Consider the following 20,713-nt stretch of genomic DNA (forward strand, 5'->3'; position numbering starts at 1 on the left):
ATGGATTTTTTTAAAACGCAAGGTGAGACATCCTTAAATTATGAACCAAAAAGCTCACCCAGAGTTGTCAAAGAGAGAAATTTACATTTTAAGCAGTCTAATTCAAGGAAAGTTCATAGTTCAGGAACTTAAAATTTCCCCCAGACATGCATAATTGCCTCATTTTGGAACCAATTTTTGTCTGCAAATAAATTTAACAAGATAAATGAAAAAATCCAGAGCCCCACAATCTTCTAAACAAAAACGCATGCACATACATAAGCACACAGTAGACCTGAGCACAAAATGTATCTGTGACTTACCTGCTTTGTGTGCCTGCTGAGGAAGAACCCGTTGTAATCTTTGTAGTAGTGCTTGTGCTGGAAAGCAGGCTTTTCTGAAGCCCAGCTGCAGAGGTAACTGTTGGTGTTGATGTGGTGCTTGGAACACTAGAACTAATCAAATCATCTTGTCTTCTACCAAAGGAGCAACTAAACAAAAGAGTCATATCTATATAGGATGTGTTTGTATGTGTATTCTATAGTTAATGTCTATACATTATATAAATTACAAGGCTAGAAAAAAAATTTAAAAACTGTGTTCCTAAATACACCACCAGCTCCAGCACCAAGAGTTGCATCTACAACTTGCTAGAGTTTAGAAGATTTCACTTAATTCGGTAGTGTATCATTTTAGTGCCTCCTCCCAACTTTCTCAACAAGACAAAGATGATCTGATATTTCATATTTTTGAAACTATTCCACACCATATGGTCATGCCAGGCTGAGCCTGAAAAACACACTTTGGTTTTGTATTACCCAGGGAAAACAAGACGTTGACATTTTTTTGAAGGAAATTATTTCAGCAATGGGTCAGATACCTCGGAAGTAACCAATGCCTACATGATACTTGTTCACATCTTATTCTTTTTGGTTGCTTTTAGTAAAGAAATTGTTTATAGGGCTTTTTTTTCCTCTTCAATATGATACTACCAACATTCCAACTGAAGGCATTTCCATAGCTCTGAGTTCTAGGGCAAGCCAAATCTTTCCAGATCAACAATGACAACTAGATCCATTAAGACACTGGCCTGTTTAAGTTGTTCTAGTCAAGGAGTTCCTTCTAAAGGAGTTCCTTTTAAATATGTAACAATCCAAAAAACATTTCATAATATTTGAAGCTTAATTATATAATAGGCATAACAAATTATCACCTATCTTTAAATATATATCCTGTGTTTAGAGTAAGTTTTAAACAACAAAAACTCGTATTTAATAAAAACACATATTTGTTTAAAATGATGTTAAACTGAGGGCTCCAAACAAATTGCCTCATATTTTTATAAATGAATACATAAAAACCGCTTAAGAATAGTATTATTACCTTTTATGATACGTTGATCCTTCATTAACTGAGCTATTTTTTTTAAGATCATCTTCCCATTTTCTCCTTGTATATGAACTACTTGTTCGCAAACTTGAAGAATCTCTGTTAAAAGAACACCCTTCAGATTCTGGTACATAATTTTAAAATAGGATTAAGAAAGCGGTACACTAGTAAATATTAGTATAAGCTGAAACTAGTAAAAACCTTTGGGAGGACACTTAGGAATACTAATCAAGAAGATAAAGTAATTTCAGTACTAAGATTATATACCCTAAGGTATAATTTTTCCCCTAAGTATGGGGGAAAATTCAGATATTTATAGAAATATGCTTTTTGATCACAAAATATAAAGTAGGGGAGATGCTTACTTTAACCGCAGAAGATCTACTTTATAGTATGTTATGTGCCGACAAAAAAAATGCTTATTAAAAATATATATTAACATAGAAGACTGCTTATGAGATCTTAGGGGAAAAAAATAAAAAAATTAGATATTATAACATGATTAAAAGTATATTAAAAAGTTATTGGCCGGGTGCAGTGGTTCACACCTGTAACCCAGCACTTTGAGAGGCCGAGACAGGTGGATCACAAGGTCAAGAGTTCAAGACCAGCCTGGCCAAGATGGTGAAACCCTGTCTCTACTAAAAATAAAAAAATTAGCTGAGCAGGGTGGCAGGTGCCTGTAATCCCAGCCACTTGAGAGGCTGAGGCAGAGAACTACTTGAACCTGAGAGGTGGAGGTTGCAGTGAGCCGAGATTGCGCCACTGCACTCCAGCGTGGGTGACAGAGCGAGACTCTGTCTCAAAAAAAATAAAAATAAAAATAAAAATAATTAAATTAAAAAAATAAAATTCTATAAGCTGAAAAACAGGAAGAAACTAAAATATTTAAACAATATTTAAACAAAAATATTTAAAACAAACTAAAATGATTAAGTAAGGGCTTTCCTTCTTCTTTCCCCTTTCCTAAATGTTCCAAATATTTAGAGAACTCATACTAGTTCATGACCTTATCTCCTCCCACTTTCCCCTTACTCTGTTCCAGCCACATCTTCTTTGCTATTATTTCATGAACATACCAAGCCTGCACCTCCTCAGGACTATGTACCTGGTATTTTCTCCTTCAGGAATATCCTCCATCTCTTCCCACAATACATATCCGCACATAATTACAATGCTCATGTATTAACTCTAATGCTAGATAATAAAGATTTTATAGTGAATGCATAAAGCAAATCAAAATAAACTCACCTGTTTTCTTTCTCTTCAATGTCAGATGTACTGGCTAGTCGTCTTGGTATTGTAGGTGCAACATATGCAAGCCTAGTTCCTTTACTATCTTTCTCCTACACAACAGGGAAAAAAATAAGTAAAAATTAATTTGGGTACTGACTATAGGCAATGCTAAAAGTATTAAGAAAAGGTTATTCAATAATTATAATTACATAGCTATCATAGTTTACAGTATTTCAACAATTCCTAGCTGAACTCTAAAATTAATGTCAATCAATAATCAGCCTGTTCAAATTAGTTTTCTTTCTCTTTTAGCCTGGAATCAGATAATATTTTACTAAGAAAGGAAAAAAATTTCTCCAGATTTTAATGACTTTTTCTAAAACTTCTCTAACAGATTAATACTGTGTCATAAGCTGAAATATCTTTATTTCTTCCAGAGAAATAAACTTTCAAATATTGTTCACTGAGAGGTCTCAAGCATTTATATTATATAAGCTATTTAGAACCTTGATAATCAATGCTCTCAAATACATCAAAATAGTCAAAACAAATATTATTTAAATTATATTTATCCAAATATGGCTAAGAGTGTGTAGTGACAATGACACTCTGATACATTCCTAGTAAGCTGGCATAAAATACCTGGAAACCAACTGCACAGTAAACTGATAAAAAAGCAAAAATATTAGAATTACTTGATGAGAAATTTCATCTGAATTTCTGATATAAGGAAACATTTCTAAGTATAGAAAGAAAACTGTATGGGCAAAAAAAATAGTTCAAGCACTGAATATGCTGTAGAAATAAATACTAGTATTGAATAAACTGTGGTACATCCTATATAATGCAGTATTAATACCACCTCTCAAAATAGTTATTAAATTTACTCATTAAGACAAAGTTGCTTGTAATATGGTAGATGAAAAATCTGGTATTTTTTTTCAGATACTGAATAAATGTAACTTATGAGTATACTAACATTCTAGAATAAATGTGTTCCTATGTTTTTTAAACTTCAGAAAGTTTCTTGAATCATAATAAACAAAATAAGCCTGCTCCTTAATACAGTTCTATTATAAATTCTCAAGTAAGGTAATAGATTCCTTTAACGGAGTATAGTCCCATAATTTATGTTTTAGGCAAATACATCTGATCTTTCCAGTATTTATAATTCTGTATAAATTACATTTGTCTTATGTAATTCATTAAGGTTAATTAACTTGATACCTAGATCTAAAGATAACTAGCAGAAAATCTACCAGATTTGATGTTCCTGGAAAAGAAATCATAACAGTTTTCATAGAAACCAGACTGTGAAATAGATTACCTTTTCTTTATTATCCAAAGAGGAGGAAAGTCTGGGACTTGAAGCTGAACGTGTAACACCTGCAGTATCTTTTTCTTTCTGACCCTCTTTAGATGCTGTGATTTCAGCAAGTGCACCATAGCTGCCCGTCTTTCTAAGTCCTAACCTCCAAGTTGCAGGAGACTCATCTTTTCTCTCTTCTTCTTTGGGAGAAATTTTTGTAGCTGTGGTTGGAAACTGTGTTTATTTTATTTTTTAGGAAAAGAAAAAAGAATTTGTAAAGCTGATCAGTCCTTAAATTGGAAACAATAAGTTTACAGATAATATATTTAAAATTATGGTTTACAGTTTCAGGATAAAACACTTTTACTACATAGGTTAATGTCTTAGTAAAAAATGTAAAGATCTAAAAATTTTAAAGAAATAGACTACCTTCCTAGGGGTTAGACTTAAGAAAACACACTACACACTTTATATCACACAGAAAAATTATGATGCAAATACAGAAAACAGAAATGAGCACACCATAAGGACTTAAAACCATGCATCTTTGGAACCAATTTATATTAAACTTGTTATGTTGTAACCTAATATAAATTCTTGCACATAGAAATGCCTCACCATAGATTTTTCACCCTTACTGGGCACAAGAACAATGCCAGTTTTGCGCAAGCCCTGCCTCCATGATGCAGGATCTACTGATTCCACCACAGGCATGATAGGAGCAATGAAATCATACTAAAGCCAATTAAAATAAGACAGGTAAAGAGACAAAGATTGAAAGCATGAAAACAGAAAAGGGAAGTTATGAACAAAAAATATTTTCTTCATTTGAAAATAATTTTATAATTAACCCCAATAATTGGGTAATGATCCAATCTTTAAAAGTCACTGGGAACAAGTTCTAATTTTAGCATGAGATAATCTGAAAAAAATCTAATAAACTTCTAAAGCAATTAAAAGGCATACAGAGTAGATAATATAGCATGTGACTGAACAAACTACTGCACATGAATTTTGTTTTTAATCCATGTATATACTCTGGTTAAAAAATTTTGTGTCCAATATAATCAACAAAAACTAGTAACTGATATTTTTCCAATTATAATACTTTTTTTTTTAACATCACAGCCTTAAATTTACTGATTTCCCCACCAAACATTAACTATTTCAACTATAATAAAAACTAATTTTATGTACAAATATTTATGCTATTTTAAGGGCTTTCCAACAACCCTAAAAATGCAACCTCTGTTATCTTTAGATCACTTCATCAACTTCACTTCTAGAAATTCTATACTCAACCACAGTTAACTATATAGATTGGTGAATACAGCAACTAACTAGTTGCCACAAGCATAGGGTATTAATAATTTTTTAAAAATCATTTCTTTCATATCTATTGCCAACATTTGCTATAATTAGCAGGTTAACAGGGCTTGTTAAAGCCCCCATGATGATGCTTGAGGGCCACTTCATGGACAAAACTGTTATAAAGATATACCTCTGGTACTTCCAGTAATGAATTGCTATCAATAGTGTCTAAGCATTCCTCAGTTCCTAAAATGTGCACCAAAGTGCTCCAGAGTGTCACAACAAAATCACGGGGGCTCTGTAGAATATTTTAAAGTTTTGAGAGAAGCACAGTGACATCTCATAGACACTGCACAAACTGCCATTTTGATCACATTTCCATCAAACTACTTAATGAGACAAACAGGCAATTCCTTTTGCCAGTGGCACTGTGAAAAAATCCTACCAAACACTAGGGGCTCCAATGACCAAGAAAGTTTGCGAACTCTAATATTCTGTGCAATATGATAGGTACTGAGACAGCTGCTTATTGATTGGTGAGTTTACAGGGCTACACTGTAAATGCTAGGCTTTGTGGAACACAGATAATATTAATACACAAATGATTGAGTGTGGCTGTAACCAATAAAACTTTAGGGACAATGACTTTTTTTTATTTTTTTTCTCCAACCAGTTTGCTATACAAAAACAGGTAATGGGCTAGGTTTGGCCCACCAGCCATAGTTTGCCAACACCCACATTAGGTCTCCCACCTCCTCAAAAAACAGAAACAAAAAAACAAACAAAAAACCTGGAAACAAACGTTTTTTCCCCCATTATAAAACAGCCAGAGTCAGTCAGTCAGATAACATTTATTGTTATAAATGAAGCTAACATTTATTGTTATAAATGAAGCTAACATTTAACAAATATTTACTAGTGTGTGACCCTCAGCTAAGTGCTTCACATGGGTTATCCTGTTTCAACCTTATAATTACCCAATGAAATACTACTATTACTGTTATTTTAGAGTTGAGAAAAACGAGGCAGTACTATCTATCAATTTTGAAATGGGCATTTGTTACACTGTAATGGCTGATATACCTCCACTCTGCCCAACATGAACTTGGATTTAAGTACTGCTTTATATGTCTAAAAGCACCTTTTAATTTTACTTGATATATAAATAAACCCTTCCTGAAATACTTAACTATACCTCCTCCTCCATTAAACTCTCTTCTTTGGCTTTTTTTACTGGACACTATCTTCACCTTCTTTTTCTTTTTACTCTGACCATTCCTTTTCTTGACTGACTCTGTGTGTGCGTGTGTGTGTGTGTGTGTGTGTGTGTGTGTAACGTTCCTTATACAGGCTGTGTGTGTTTGTGTGTGTGTGTGTGTACAACTTTCCTTGTGCTAGCCCTTCCAGAGCCTGCTCTTGGATCTCTCATATTCTCTTTCTACTTTCTTCTCCTGGGGGGTTAGGAGGAGGGTCTTTACTTCCTCAGGCTAAATATTAATTGTAGTCAGCTTATTCTCAAATGTGTTATTCTCCAGTCCAGTCTCCTAAATTTCCAGTCCTAATTTTACCTGTCTATTCTAGGTAAAATTCTACCACACTATTCTAGAGTGGACAATCTAGAACTATAACTGAAAACTTGAAACTCAGTATGTCTAAAATAAAACACCTTTACTTCCAAACCATCTCTTCTTCAGTTCCCTAATTCTGTTAATGGCACTAAGTATATCTCTTCAATCTCCTATGTTTCAAACTTCACAATTATGTTAGACCTTCTCTGTCATTTTCCTCCATCCATAAATTAGAGGTCAAGTCTCTAAATCTCCTCTCCTTTATAAGCCCAGAGTCACTTCTCTAGTTCATATTCTTATCATTGTGGGCAACTTCAATGACTTTCTAATAAACCTTTTCTCAATAAGCCTCTCATCTTCAAATCTGTACACTGCTGTCAGAATAATATTCTATAAAGAATAATCCTCTCATGGCATTGTTCAAACATCTTCCACGACTACTACTTATCAAATAAATTATAAAAGTGTTATCCTACAGTTGAAGACATCCTGCAATATAGCTCTACTTTTCCTGTTTACTTTGTATATATGCACCCTATAAATCAATCAAATGGAACAATTCATTTTTCCTGCGAAAGTATTCCATATTATCCCCACTTGCTCATATTGTTTTTCTTCTCTCCCTTTCAACAAGGTTTACAAGCCCTTCTTCTCTCAGGTGGAGTACTACCTACTTTAAGATTTATCTAAAATGTCCTGATTCTACTACCTTAAGTCAAATATAATTTCTTCTCCTTTTAAATCATGCTACATCTGTACGTTTCGATTGGACTACTTTATATACCCACAGCACATAGCAGTCTTTTGTTAAATTATTAGCTATTACATTGAATTCAATTAACCAGAACACTTAATTCCATAAAAATTCTGAATTTTTACCATCAAGTAAAGAAAATGCCATTTACATTTTATTGGAATGTACACCCATATAGAAGAATAGATAATCTGCTTTAGAGATCCCAACAAAATTTATTTTGACCAGAGAGGCTTATATAAACTTGTTAGTTAACAATTTTAAGCACAAAATCAAACTGATGGTTTTATAGATAACATCTCCACAAATCATCAGCTTGATATTGCTACAGAAACAGTTCTTTAATTTCAGCGGAAGGGTTAAGGAATTAAAGTAAACACATCTATCTTTCACCATAGTTACCCCAAGTTATTAAAAGAAAATAAGCATGTAAAACTGTTTCGTGTGCTTCCATTTTTGTGATCTGTCTTGCCATGAACACAAGTGCACACATACATAGTTTATGTACTGGGGTAGGAAGCTGGAGAACTTGATAACTTTATCTAAATATTAGAAGTGGAGTCATGACTGGGAACCTAAAAACAGATAATTGCAAAACCTTTTAAGATGCAATTAGAAATTAACAACCTGTTTAAGGAAATTTAATGTTAGGTCACTAAAGTTACAGATAAACTTGAAAAAATTTTAAAAAATACTAATATGCTAAATTAGATACAGGAGTATAAGAATCACTGAAAATAACAGGTTTTAAAAGTCATACAGTATTGATAAGAAGACTCCCTCTTCGGCTGGGCATGGTGGCTCACGCCTGTAATCCCAGCACCTTGGAAGGCTGAGGCGGGTGGATCACGAGGTCAGGAGATCGAGACCATCCTGGCTAACACGGTGAAACCCCGTCTCTACTAAAAATACAAAAAATTAGCCAGGTGTGGTGGTGGATGCCTGTAGTCCCGGCTACTTGGGAGGCTGAGGCAGGAGAATGGCGTGAACTTGGGAGGCGGAGCTTGCAGTGAGCCGAGATCGTGCTACTGCACTCCAGCCTGGGCAACAGAGCAAGACTCCATCTCAAAAAAAAAAAAAAAAAAAAAAAAGGACTCCCCCTCTTCATTAAAAAAAAAATTTCAGGCCAGGCACGGTGGCTCATGCCTGTAATCCTAGCACTTTGCAAGGCCGAGACGGGTGGATCACCTGAGGTCAGGAGTTTGAGACCAACCCAGCCAACATGATGAAACCCCGTCTCTACTAAAAATACAAAAATTAGCTGGGTGTGGTGGCAGGTGTCTGTAATTCAGCTACTCGGGAGGCTGAGGCAGGAGAATCACTTGAATCTGGGAGGTGGAGGTTGCAGTGAGCCGAGATTGCGCCACTGCACCCCAGCCTGGGTGACAAGAGTGAAACTCTGTCTCAAAAAAAAAAAAAAAAAAAAAAAAAATTCAAAATTTTTACACATGATCGTTTTGAATAAAATTTGGTTACAAAACTTTAAGAACAAAGAAACAATATAATCTTCAAAGTAAGTTATGGTGCTTGAAACTGAGAATAAAATAGTTTCTAAATATGCAAATTTAGAAGCAGATGTTATTATATTAGCTTAATTACAGAATCAAGAGTGATTTTGAATAAGAACTTTTACAGCAAAGAGATTACTGGCCCACTATACTAACAGAGGTTATAAAGTATTTCTTTTCAGTTAGGGCATTAGGTATAAATTGAGAACTACATTGCCATAAATGTTGGCTATATGTGAGAAAAAGAAAAAGAAAATTGAACACAGGAAGTTTACCGTAATCATTTGACTGTAGTAGGAAAGGGATTACTTAGCCAAATACCCAAAAGATAGAGAGCCAGTGCTGGGTGCAGTGGCTCACGCCTGTAACCCCAGTACTTTGGGTGGGCGGATCACAAGGTCAGGAGTTCGAGAATACCCTAACATGGTGAAAACCCATCTCTACTAAAAATATAATTAGTCAGGTGTGGTGGAGGTGCCTGTGATCCCTGTTACTCAGTAGGCTGAGACAGGAGAATCGCTTAAACCCGGGAGGCAGATGTTGCAATGAGCCAAGATCGTGCCATTGCACTCCAGCCTGGGTGACAGAGCAAGACTGCCTCAAAAAGAAAAAAAAAAAAAAAGATAGCCAGTTTCTTGCCTAGGTATTCCAGGGAGATGGAATTTCTGATAACATTATAGTCTAAACAGATCAAAAGATGCAGGAATGAATTTAGTATTCACTGAAGAAGTACATGGGGGTCTTAGAAGTAAAATAAACTTTAATTAAAGCAGTTTATAGTGACGCTAGTTATAGGATGATTAACAGTCTTCAAAATTTTGCAGACAAACTGCTTTTAGAGAATTTCTTAACTGAAGCATACATAATTATTATCATATGAACATGAGTTCTAACTGAATTCAAGAAGCCCTCAGTTTTGGAATATATAAGGTAAGATAAGTCATTCATAGTTTCTCAATATTCAAACTATGTACCAATGAAACCAACACGTTTCTACCACTAATAATTTACATTACTGCCTTCCTTGGGAAGTTTGAGAGAAGGATTATTACTAACAGCAGGGATTTTTTTTTTTATTCTGCAGTTTATGATTTCAAAAAGATCTATATTTTGACCACCTAAAGCCAAATCCAAATATTGGCAAGACTGACAACACAACAGAAATGCTGTGAGGATTTAAAAACCAATCAGTCCTTAAACTCATGCACATAATGTCAAACGAGCAACAAAATAAGAAGTTCAAAGGCAACTAAACACAATGTACAATCCAAGTGGACCCCTGATTTTAAAAAACAAACAGAAATACTCAAAGGACAATTGGGAAAATCTGGGTATATTAGTTATTAATAACATAATAGTATTATACCAAAGTTAAATTTCCTAAGTGTGATTATTTTGAGAATGAAGAATAGCCTTGTACTAGGAGATACATACTGACATATTTAGGCATGAAGTGTTATGATTACTGCAATCAATTTTTCAAGGGTTTGGTTAAAAAAAAAGGTATGTGTGGACAGAGAGGGAAATGATAAAAAAAGATAAAAAAAAGGACGGGTGAAGAGAAATCTTTGAAAAGAGACTAGTAGGTCAAACATAAACAAACAAAAACTCTTAATCGTTAATTTGGGTTAAAAGAAAGATAGGTTCCAGAGAAGCAGGAAAACGTAAAGTCTTAAAAAGATTAACACACTAACTGGAAAACACTGCTTCGGTGGAGAGAAGAGATGAGAGGGATGGAGAACAGACAGAGAACAGAAAGAAGAGAAAGAAATGAAACTAACATTTTGAAAACACACTCAGTTTACTGGCCAGGCTATCTCAACCAATCCTTACAATATTAACTGTATTTCTCTTTATTTTGTTATACAAAAGGAAGATAGTAAGTAACTTGCTCAAGGTCATAACAACTAATAAGGTAGAGTCAGGAGCTCATCTCTGGTTTATCTGACCTCAGAGATCATGCTCCTACTGACATACCAAAGTTGCCTGCCTAGTGCTTTGTACTATGAGTTTAAAAAATTTAGATTTTAGTTCTCTCATTGACTTGTGGTAGTAGTATTTGTAATTTACCCGTGTGTGAAATTATCAACATGCACACCTCTACTTAATAGAGATAAAGGATATAAAACCTGAGCTTCTCAAAATAAAAGTTCAATAGAAAAAAAAAACTAATACAATCACTGATTTTAATATTACAAAAATTTTTATCTTTCTGCCATTTATTAACTATCAACTGTATGTAATATTTGTTAACTACCAACTGTAATATCAACAGTAATATCAATTGCAAAAAGGATAAAAAAACATGATTCAGAAGAAATCTCATTCAACTGAGAAACATAAATACATATTTATATTCTGAAATCTTACATATTTTTGGAACAGACTATAAAAATTCAGAATTACTTTAATGAGTTAGTCCAAGTGGTACATAAATAGAATACATGTATTTTCAGCAAATACAATTTTGGCTTACCTTTTTAATAGGTGATGTAGGTGTTGCTTGACCTGATGACACAGTAGGTGTTGTAACAGCTACAGGAGCTGCTTGTGTACTAGAAGTGTTGGCATTAGTTACAGAAGCCAGGGGTTTTGTCTTATCTATTAAAGACAAACAATTAAGAGTCAAGATTCCATATATATTTGGTCTCAATGGCTGGGAAAAAATCATTTTATATTCCATTTTTGTTTAAGGTTTTGTTAACTAAAAGTCTTTCCCCACTGTGATTCCTTTTCGCAAGTCAGTTTTTCAGGGAGCTTCTAGACTTGTCTCTATATATATGCTGAAATAAATAGTTAAGATAATAAAGATACACAACAAAGCTTCTGACAATAAAATGCACAAATAGAATCTGACTTCTGTACTTTTAAAATGAAGAAAATAAAAAGAAATTTAAGATTTAAAACTTGAATGCATGAATGCAATGTAACTAAAACCTTAACAGTAGCTATGCAATTTTCTAATGGATAAACAACTATTATTACTGATCTAAAACTGATGGTTCCTCTTTAATCAAGGAAATCTAAAAGTGCTTTTGTCAATAATTACCTTACATTCCTGTCAAACAGTATGGTTAAATGTCCCAAAGAGCATGTTTTCCCACTCCTAAAAAGTCTAAAGTTAAATGGGCACAATATCATCTTCTTGGAAAATAATCCACCTAACTGTGTAGAGAATCAATCAACAAATAATAAGTGTCCCCATTCTTCAAGTAGTGCCCTAGGTACTAGGGATATATCAGCCAATGAAAAGACAAAATACCTTCACTTGCAGTCTAGTAGGAGATATAAATAACAAATAAGATAAACCCCATGTACCACCATCCAACTTATTTATTTACTTTGAGACAGGGTCTTGTTCTGTTGCCCAGGTTGGGGTACAGTGGCATGATCTTGGCTCACTGAAGCCTGTTACCCAGGCTCAAGCGATCTTCCCACCTCAGCCTCTTGAGTAGCTGGGACTACAGGTGTGCGCTACCACACCTACTAATTGTTGTGTTTTTTTTGTAAAGACAGGGCTTCCCCATGTTGCCCAGGCTGGTCTTGAACTCGTGAGCTTAAGCAATCCTCCAGACTTGGACTCCCAAACTACTGAGATTACTAGCATGATCCACAGCACCCAGCCCCACCATCCAACTTACTTTGTAAATGTTATTAATATTGCTGTAGTCTTTCTATCCATTTGATTTCAACAAAGAACAAAAAAGTCCTAGAAGAAAGAACCCTAAAAGCAAAAATGTACTCTTCTTTCTCATTTTCTCAACTAACTTTCACATTTGTAAATTGTTTGAAAGGTAACTAAAACTTATGGTTGCACTCTCATTTTTATCTGCTTTATGAGAAGAGAAAGAACACTGAAGAAAAACTGTTTTGGCAAATAATTTATTTTACAAAATTCAGCAAAATAGTTATTTTATGTCAAATAGTTTCCCAAGGAAATAACCTTACAAAAAGTAGAAAGAACAAATGGTTTACAAATTGTCAAATTAAGCTGTAGCTCTACAGGGAAATGGCTGCTTTCTCAAGCTTTCCAAATAAAGTATGATAAAGCCTAGCTGATATTAAGAGAGTGAGAGGAAAGGAACCACACAGCGTTTACAATGGGTTAATTCTTGAGACAGAGTCAAATTTTCCTGGCACAACTGCCACTAGCAACAGGAAGAACAAAATTATCATAGTACAATGCTTCAAAGGAACATTTAAAGTTAGCTCAGTGAGAAACTGAGTAGAGAGCAATTAGTACGTTTCAATTCCAAACCGGGAACAAATACAATGCAATTTGATGGTAATTAGTTATATTTAATAGAATACTAGAGTTTTAAGAACCATCCAGGTCATATAGCCCGATTTTTCTCATTTTATAATCAAGGAAATTCAACCAAAAGATAGCAGAAGATTTGCTGGTTAGTGGTAAAACTGGCCTAAGGTCTCTTGTTTGTTTTAAATAGTTCCTTGGTGTCTAACATTGAACAGTGACTTGTATACAAACAAGGGCTAATGAAGAAAAAATTTAGTGAACAAAAACCTAGAAATCTTTGAAAGAGATGCCTGGACTTCTAGTTCTTGAATTATACTACATAAGTAGTAAAAGACTTAAAATACAAGTTAGGAGATCTGGGTGCAAGTCTTGGCTCTCTTGTGCACATAGTTTAATTTGTAATGATATACTTGACTACAGACTGAGAGCTAAGTAATGTCTCCCAGGGAGGAGATTAACTGCATAAAAATAACTTTAGGCTATAGGTTGAGCACAATGGCTCATGCCTGTAATCCCAGCACTTTGGGAGGCTGAGGTGGGAGAATTGCTTGAGGACAGGAGTTCAAGACTAGCCTCAGCAAAATAGTTAACCCTACAAAAAACAAAAATAAAATTAGATGTGCATGGTAACATGTGCTTGTTGTCCCAGCTACTGGAGAAGCTGAGGAGGATCACTTGAACCCAGGAGTTTGAGAATAAGGTAAATGTTCATCAGAATGGAAACAGACATATTTAATAGAATACTATACAATAGCTAAAAAAAAAAAATGCAGATCAAGTTATAGAAATAGATTTATGGACAAATATAAAAAACATAACTTTTGAGTGAAAAAAGATGTATAACAATTCCTACCATATGAAAAAAACACAAAACAATATTATAATTGTTATATGTTACATATGAATACACATATGTAAGACTATAAAAATGAACTAGAAGATTACAGAAAAAAACTCATGACAGTGATTGCCTTTGAAGGAAGGAAAGGGAAGCAGACTAGGGTGGGTGACCAAAAAAGACATCTATAATGTTTTAACTTCATTTAAGAAATTGAAGTAAATATGATTAAATGTCACAGTAGTTAAAGTCTTAAGTCGAGGTTGTTGGAATATGAATGTTTGTTTATTATACTTTTCTGTATCTTTAAAATTTCTCAAAACAAAGCAAATTCCCCCACACCCTCACAGGAAAGAGTTTTTACTCCATTCCTACTTTACTATTTCTTAGGGAAAATTTGGGATGCTGTTGGGACCGGCATCCTGGACGTTTGGACCTCAGAAGGAACAGGAGCATTTCTCAATTGCTGAGAACCCACTCACAACCTATCTGTACCTAAGGAGTCTTAGAAGCCTCTGCAACTTCTTTAAATATAGGTCGGCAAAATGCAGAGGTGAACAACAGCCTCCAGATAATTAAATAATAATAAATTCACAACTATATGTAAGTTTCTAGCATTCACTGAAAGATAATTTAGTAGTGTGGCAGGTATCTAAACAAGTAGCAAATCAGTCTGAAAAATTTAAAAATTACGTCTCATCTTGTCTTATTTTACACTGCCACAAAATTCAACGAAAATGCATTTATCTTTTAATTTTACCTGTTTCAGCTTCTGATTCCGAGTCATCTTCCTCATCTTCTTCACTAGAGCAGCTAGACTCATCCTTCTTTCCTTCTTCTTCTTCATCAACCTTTTCTTGTTCCAGAGATTCAATACGGGATGCATTTTTCTCTGGTTCAATAATCAACGTCTCTTTGCTGTTAAAGGAAAACAGTGTTCAAATGATTAGAAATACAAAAGGTTAAAATATATTCATTCTTCCCAGATCCACAATAATCATGCCTGTGGCCACTATGCCAACTCATTAACAAAAATAACAAATGTACTTGAATATTTTACTCACTTTTTAAAGGTCTTCTGTGACTGATTATTGTCCATATTTGCTGTTGATTCAATTAGTGGAGATTTCTTGTCCCGTTTTTCACTATGGAGCTTTGTACAAAGTTATGCAAAGGAAAATAAGAAAACTATTAAGATACTATTACTAAGATGCAGAGTTTAAAATAATAACAAAGTAGTTTTTCAGACATTAAATAAGACAAAACAAAGAAATAAATAAATTAAGTTTTACCTGAAAAGGAAAGAGCTTGAATAAAGAATGAAATAGACTAGACAATTAAAAAGCTCCATGCAGGGCTAAGATGGATTTTTTACATCCCTCCAACTTTACTGAAAAAGTCGAGATCCACTAACCACTTAGGCTGGCTGAGGATATTTTACTTAAAGAACTGTTTCTGGCTGGGCGCAGTGGCTCACACCTGTAATCCTAGCACTTTGGGAGGCCAAGGCGGGAGGACTGCCTGAGCTCAGGAGTTCAAGACCAGCCTGGGCAACATGGTGAAACCCCATCTCTACTAAAACACAAAAAATTAGCCAGGCATGGTGGCGTGTACCTGTAGTCCGAGCTACTCAGGAGGCTGAGGCAGGAGAATGGCTCAGACCCAGGAGGTGGAGGCTGCAGTGAGTTGAGATCGCGCCACTGTACTCTAGCCTGGGACAGAGTGAGACCCCATCTCCAAAAAAAAAAAAAAACTGTTTTCTAGTGATATAACTCCTTGCTTATCTAGGACCTGCTATTGGATATATGAGATTTTATAGATTCCATCTTTTAAGTAAAACACTCTAATGAAATTATAAAAACGTTATTCTTGAGGACATATATGAGTATTCATTTTGAGAAGGGGAGGAAATAGAAATGGGGATAAGCAACACAAAAGGCTAAATATCACCATCCTTTATTCTCTTTCACTATCATTTAGTGAAACTTAAGGATAACTTAAAACCAAAAAGTACAAAACATCACAAGAATACTTTTGTAATTGTCTCAAATTCAAAATTATTAAGGTAAGTAATATAGGCAATTATTAGTCATCAAACATACCAGATTTTGTTTCTTTTGCAACTCTTCTAAATATCCTAAAATGTCTTCATCTGCTACATCAAAGGCTGTTTGGCCCTACGTAGGAAACAAGGGGGGATGGTGATGGTCAAAAGTCAATAAATCATAAAATGCCTTCAGTAATTCTGTATAATTTTATATAAAGACGTTGGATAACATTTTTTACAGTGGTTATGATACAATAACTACTGTAAAAACATACAACTCTAAGGCAATGTATGTGAAATTTATGTGAGACAGAAGCTGAGAATATCTCCCCTTATTTTTTTGGTAACAGCTTTATTGAGATATAATTCATATACCATACAAATCACTCATTTAAAGTGTACAATTCAATGGTTTTATGGATATTCAGAGTTGTACAACTATCAAAATAATCAATTTCAAATATTTTTATCACCCTAAGAAGTAGGAACATACCCTTTAGTAGTCACTGTCTGCATCCAGCCCAAGGCAACCACTAATCTACTTTCTGTCTCTATAGGTCTACCTATGCTAGGCATTTCCTATAAATGGAATCATAGAATATATGGTTCTTTGTGACTGGCTTCTTTCACTCTACATGTTTTCAAGGTTCATTCATGTTATAGCATGTATCACTTCATTTCTTTTGATGAATAATATTCCATTGCATGATATATACAGTTTGCTAATCTAGTCATCAGGTGGACATCTGCATTTTTTTTTTTTTTTTTGCCTATGATGAATAATGCTGCTATGAGCATTCATATACAACTTTTTGTGTGGACACCTGTTTTCATTTTCTTCAACATACAGTTAAGGGCAAAATTACTGGGTAATTTAACCTTTTGAGACTTTTTCTTTTTGATGACTTCCTAAAACTTAATTAACTTCTTGGTAGAGTAATAAAACTAAAAATATATATATGTTTAAGCTGTTTAACATTCAGCCAGCCACAGGTATGGCTTAATTTTTAAAATTAGTCCACATGAACATATGTCAATCCATTTTAATTCACTGTGAAAGAGAAAAATTTCAAAGAGCTGCTGACTAAACATAGTAAGAATATTTCCTGCTGCCTGCATTAGTCCTTATAATAGCCCTACTGTACAAGTTTCCAGGATGCTTACAAGTTCATTATTTAGAATACAGTCTTCTTTGTATGTTATCCAGTATATGATCCTTTCACAGAAAAAAAAAAGTTTTTAGCAACAAAAAATATAATTCTGAAAGAAAGTTAAAATTTCTTAATAGTATTCCTATATCCACAACAAGATCAGAATGGATAAGAAATAATGGCTTCTAAAATCACATTAATTTTTCCGTTTAGAAACAAACAACAAACCTCGTTTCTATACCAACATCAGGATGTTAACATGTATTCAGAAAGGAGCTAATTTCCAAACACTACAAAACAAACTATAAGCTAGCCAATATCTGAGCTAGTTTTCCCATTGTCTGTTAATAAAATAAAAAGCCATTGTCTATGAAAGGTATCTTTTTTTTTTTTTTTTTTAAAGATAGGATCTTGCTCTGTTACCAAGGTTGGAGTGCACTGGCACGATCGTGGCTCACTGCAGCCTCAACCTCCTGGGACTCAGGTGATCCTCCCACTTCAGCCTCCTGAGTAGCTGGGACCACAGGTGCACACCTCCACGCCTGACTAGTTTTTGTATTTTTTTGTAGAGATGGAGTTTCACCATGTTGCCCAGGCTGGTTTTGAACTCCAGGGCTCAGGCCCACCTCCACCTCCCAAAGTGCTGGGATTATAGGTATGGGCCACTGTGCCCAGCCCTATGAAGAATATCTTCAAAGTATATAAAATACTGCTTTTTCAAAATAGGTGAGTATGTATATAAATTTACAAGATTCGAAAATACTTATCATACTTGCCTTTTCTTGCTAGAAAGTCTTACCAGTAGGAATTTAAGAGACAATCTATCCTTTCCCACTCAGTCCAAGATAAAAAGTTTTAGTTTTAACAAACTTTCCTCCCATTTCAATCTTGGGAAATAGAAGCCAAAATTTAAATTCCTGAAGAATAAATAGTTCTGAAATCAAATAACTGGCTCAAAACTTAAGGTGCCCTTTAAATTAGAAATACATGTTAATTCTAGTTTTGCTATATCATATGCTTTACATAATCAGTTCTAAAATGTTAATAATGCTATTTATTTAATGTAAAGTGTGTTTAAGATTATGTTATGTGGAAATAATTCAGTGACTTCTTTTTAAATATCATTTTAAGCATTATCAACCCTTCTCATGAATGAACTACCCCACCTTGAAAATGTTTGAACTGTAATTAAATTTTTCTAGCAGTTAAATGCAATGGAGTCACTTTAATAATCAAGGAACTCTCCTCTTTAAGAATAAGAAATTGGATCACTCTACTAACCTTTATTTTCACTTTCTCCCTTGATAAATGAATCTACTTTGCAAACAGCAGCTGATACACAATCAAATTAGAGTAAAATGTGGGCTATAAGAATTTCTAATTTCAAAAAAAGCACACTCATCAACTTAACTCATCAACTTAAACATGCTCTTTAAACAATCTGCAGCACAGTTATAAAGCTAACAGTCATGAAGTTATAAACATTATTTGGTTCTTAACTACTATAAGGCTATTATGCTTCATTGATAGAGTATAAACACATTTATAGTATATAAGCAGTGTCACTCAAAGCAACCAGGCAACAAATGAGGACACAATGCTGAGGTATGAGAACATGAAAACTTTATCAAGAGAACTATCTTAAAAGTAACTGCTTAAAAAAAAATCAGTCCAATACGTCTATTAAGAGTCACAAACACACTAGAGACATTATAAGTCTAACTTCATAGTTTCTTCATTTTTCTTTACTCACTTATTCTAACCAAATTTTTTTTTAGGTACAACCTCTTCATCTTCACAACAACGAATAATGTAGCTGGGACAAGTATCAGAATGATTCTCACTGTACAGATGAAGAAACTCAGTCTGCGTGCATGGTATTTGCCCAAGGTCATACAGGTCATTAAGAGAAAGTGGGAATACAATCTAGGTCTCTACTAGTGTGTCATTTTGTCTTTATCAAAAATAAAAATAAATTCAGATGGAATTAGGGTAAAAAAAATTCTTGTGTCCATTAATAGCAGAAATAGCTTTGTTATTCATTTAAATCTTTATAATGACAGTTATATTAATCTAAAAACTTGTCTGCTAACCATTGTATTAATTTGGTAAGAGAAATTCCAACCAGAAAAGCATTCTAGTCAATATTTAAAGAAAGAACAATATTAGATACATTCTAGTAAAGCAATTATTTTAATAAATTAAGAAAGCAAATAAAAACCTTTGTATTTAAGGTCTGTATCACATAATTTATAATAATGAATTAAAATGACAGTAAATATGTATTACAGTTTGCAAATAATTTAAAGAAATGAAACTGAAATCTCTAAATATTTTTAGACCATTTCTCCCACTTCCATGTAGAAAGTTTCAGATTTTCTATATATTTGTTACACTTACTATATTATACATTATTTTCCCAAATCATGTTTTCTAGTACTAAATAATTCATCTAAACTCTGGTAGTACCTTAAGTGCACATCTTTAATATCATTTTTAAAACAATTTAGTAATAATCTTCAATCTGTAAGTACTAAGGAAGGTATCCAATGACAATATAAATTCACATAGGCAGGCTTACATAATTAAGACAAAGTAATTTATTTTGACTGAACATGATGTATGACAATTTAAAATGCAGACAATAAAAACAGTCTAATTCATACATGCAAAGTTATGAAATTAAAATTTTAAAAATCAAGGTCTTAAAATAGAACTTCTCAAATGAAAAAAAAAGCCTTGTATTTGGATATATTTATGGCACAAAGTCCTTTAGAATGCTATAGACATTATGTAGCTCCTCACTATAAAAAGCAGTCTTTAAAATCTTGATTTTTAAAAGAAAAATATTTTGATTAAAATTTATATTTTTATAGCTTAATAGTATCTTGAAAAAGAAAAGATGAGGAAACTAAAACGAAAAGAAGTTATAGAGGAACTTAGCAGAATAAAAAGATAAAACAATTTCAGGGTTTTAGGAAAATATACTTGACTTCTCTGATCATGTTCCTGAATCCAAAAAACTTAATTTCACAGGGTCGTTAAAAGAATTGCATTAGGTAATATGTGTAAAAAAGGCTGAAAACCTTTAAATTCTATGTAAATATGAGGCACAATTGTTTCGGGTTTTTTTTTTTTTTTTTTTTTTGAGCAGGGTCTCCTTCTGTTGCCCACTGCTGTGCAGTGCCACAACCATGACTCACTGCAGCCTTGAACTCCTGGACTCAAGCGATCCTTCTACCTCAGCCTCCCATGTAGCTGGGATTACAGGTGCATACCACAAAGCCTGGCTCACAATTCTTTTACTATCACATAAAGATCTACTGAAATATCGAATGACAGATAAGGAGTAAATAAAATTTAGA

The 20,713-nt window shown here is 33.8% G+C and overlaps 1 protein-coding gene and 1 long non-coding RNA gene across 6 annotated transcripts in view; one reads left to right on the forward strand and one right to left on the reverse strand.

Moving 5' to 3' along the window:
• Nucleotides 1-20,713, reverse strand: part of PPP1R12A (protein phosphatase 1 regulatory subunit 12A) — a 161,898-nt gene that overhangs the window by 32,301 nt on the left and 108,884 nt on the right. For 4 of the 5 annotated variants that reach the window (NM_001244990.2, NM_001143885.2, NM_002480.3 and 1 more), the window contains 8 exons: nt 16,253-16,327; nt 15,215-15,303; nt 14,911-15,068; nt 11,531-11,655; nt 3,932-4,147; nt 2,620-2,714; nt 1,363-1,467; nt 303-470 (listed from right to left, as the gene is read on the reverse strand). In NM_001244990.2, the coding sequence (NP_001231919.1) occupies nt 303-470; nt 1,363-1,467; nt 2,620-2,714; nt 3,932-4,147; nt 11,531-11,655; nt 14,911-15,068; nt 15,215-15,303; nt 16,253-16,327 (1,031 nt within the window). The remainder of the gene's footprint in view (nt 1-302; nt 471-1,362; nt 1,468-2,619; nt 2,715-3,931; nt 4,148-11,530; nt 11,656-14,910; nt 15,069-15,214; nt 15,304-16,252; nt 16,328-20,713) is intronic. The other variant, NM_001244992.1, reaches the window with a different exon arrangement.
• On the forward strand, nt 17,918-19,335 carry LOC124902974 (uncharacterized). The gene is made up of 2 exons (XR_007063387.1): nt 17,918-18,074; nt 19,127-19,335. It is a non-coding gene; the product is annotated as an uncharacterized LOC124902974 (long non-coding RNA).

Source organism: Homo sapiens, chromosome 12, assembly GCF_000001405.40.
Source record: "Homo sapiens chromosome 12, GRCh38.p14 Primary Assembly".
Taxonomy (NCBI): Eukaryota; Metazoa; Chordata; class Mammalia; order Primates; family Hominidae; genus Homo; species Homo sapiens.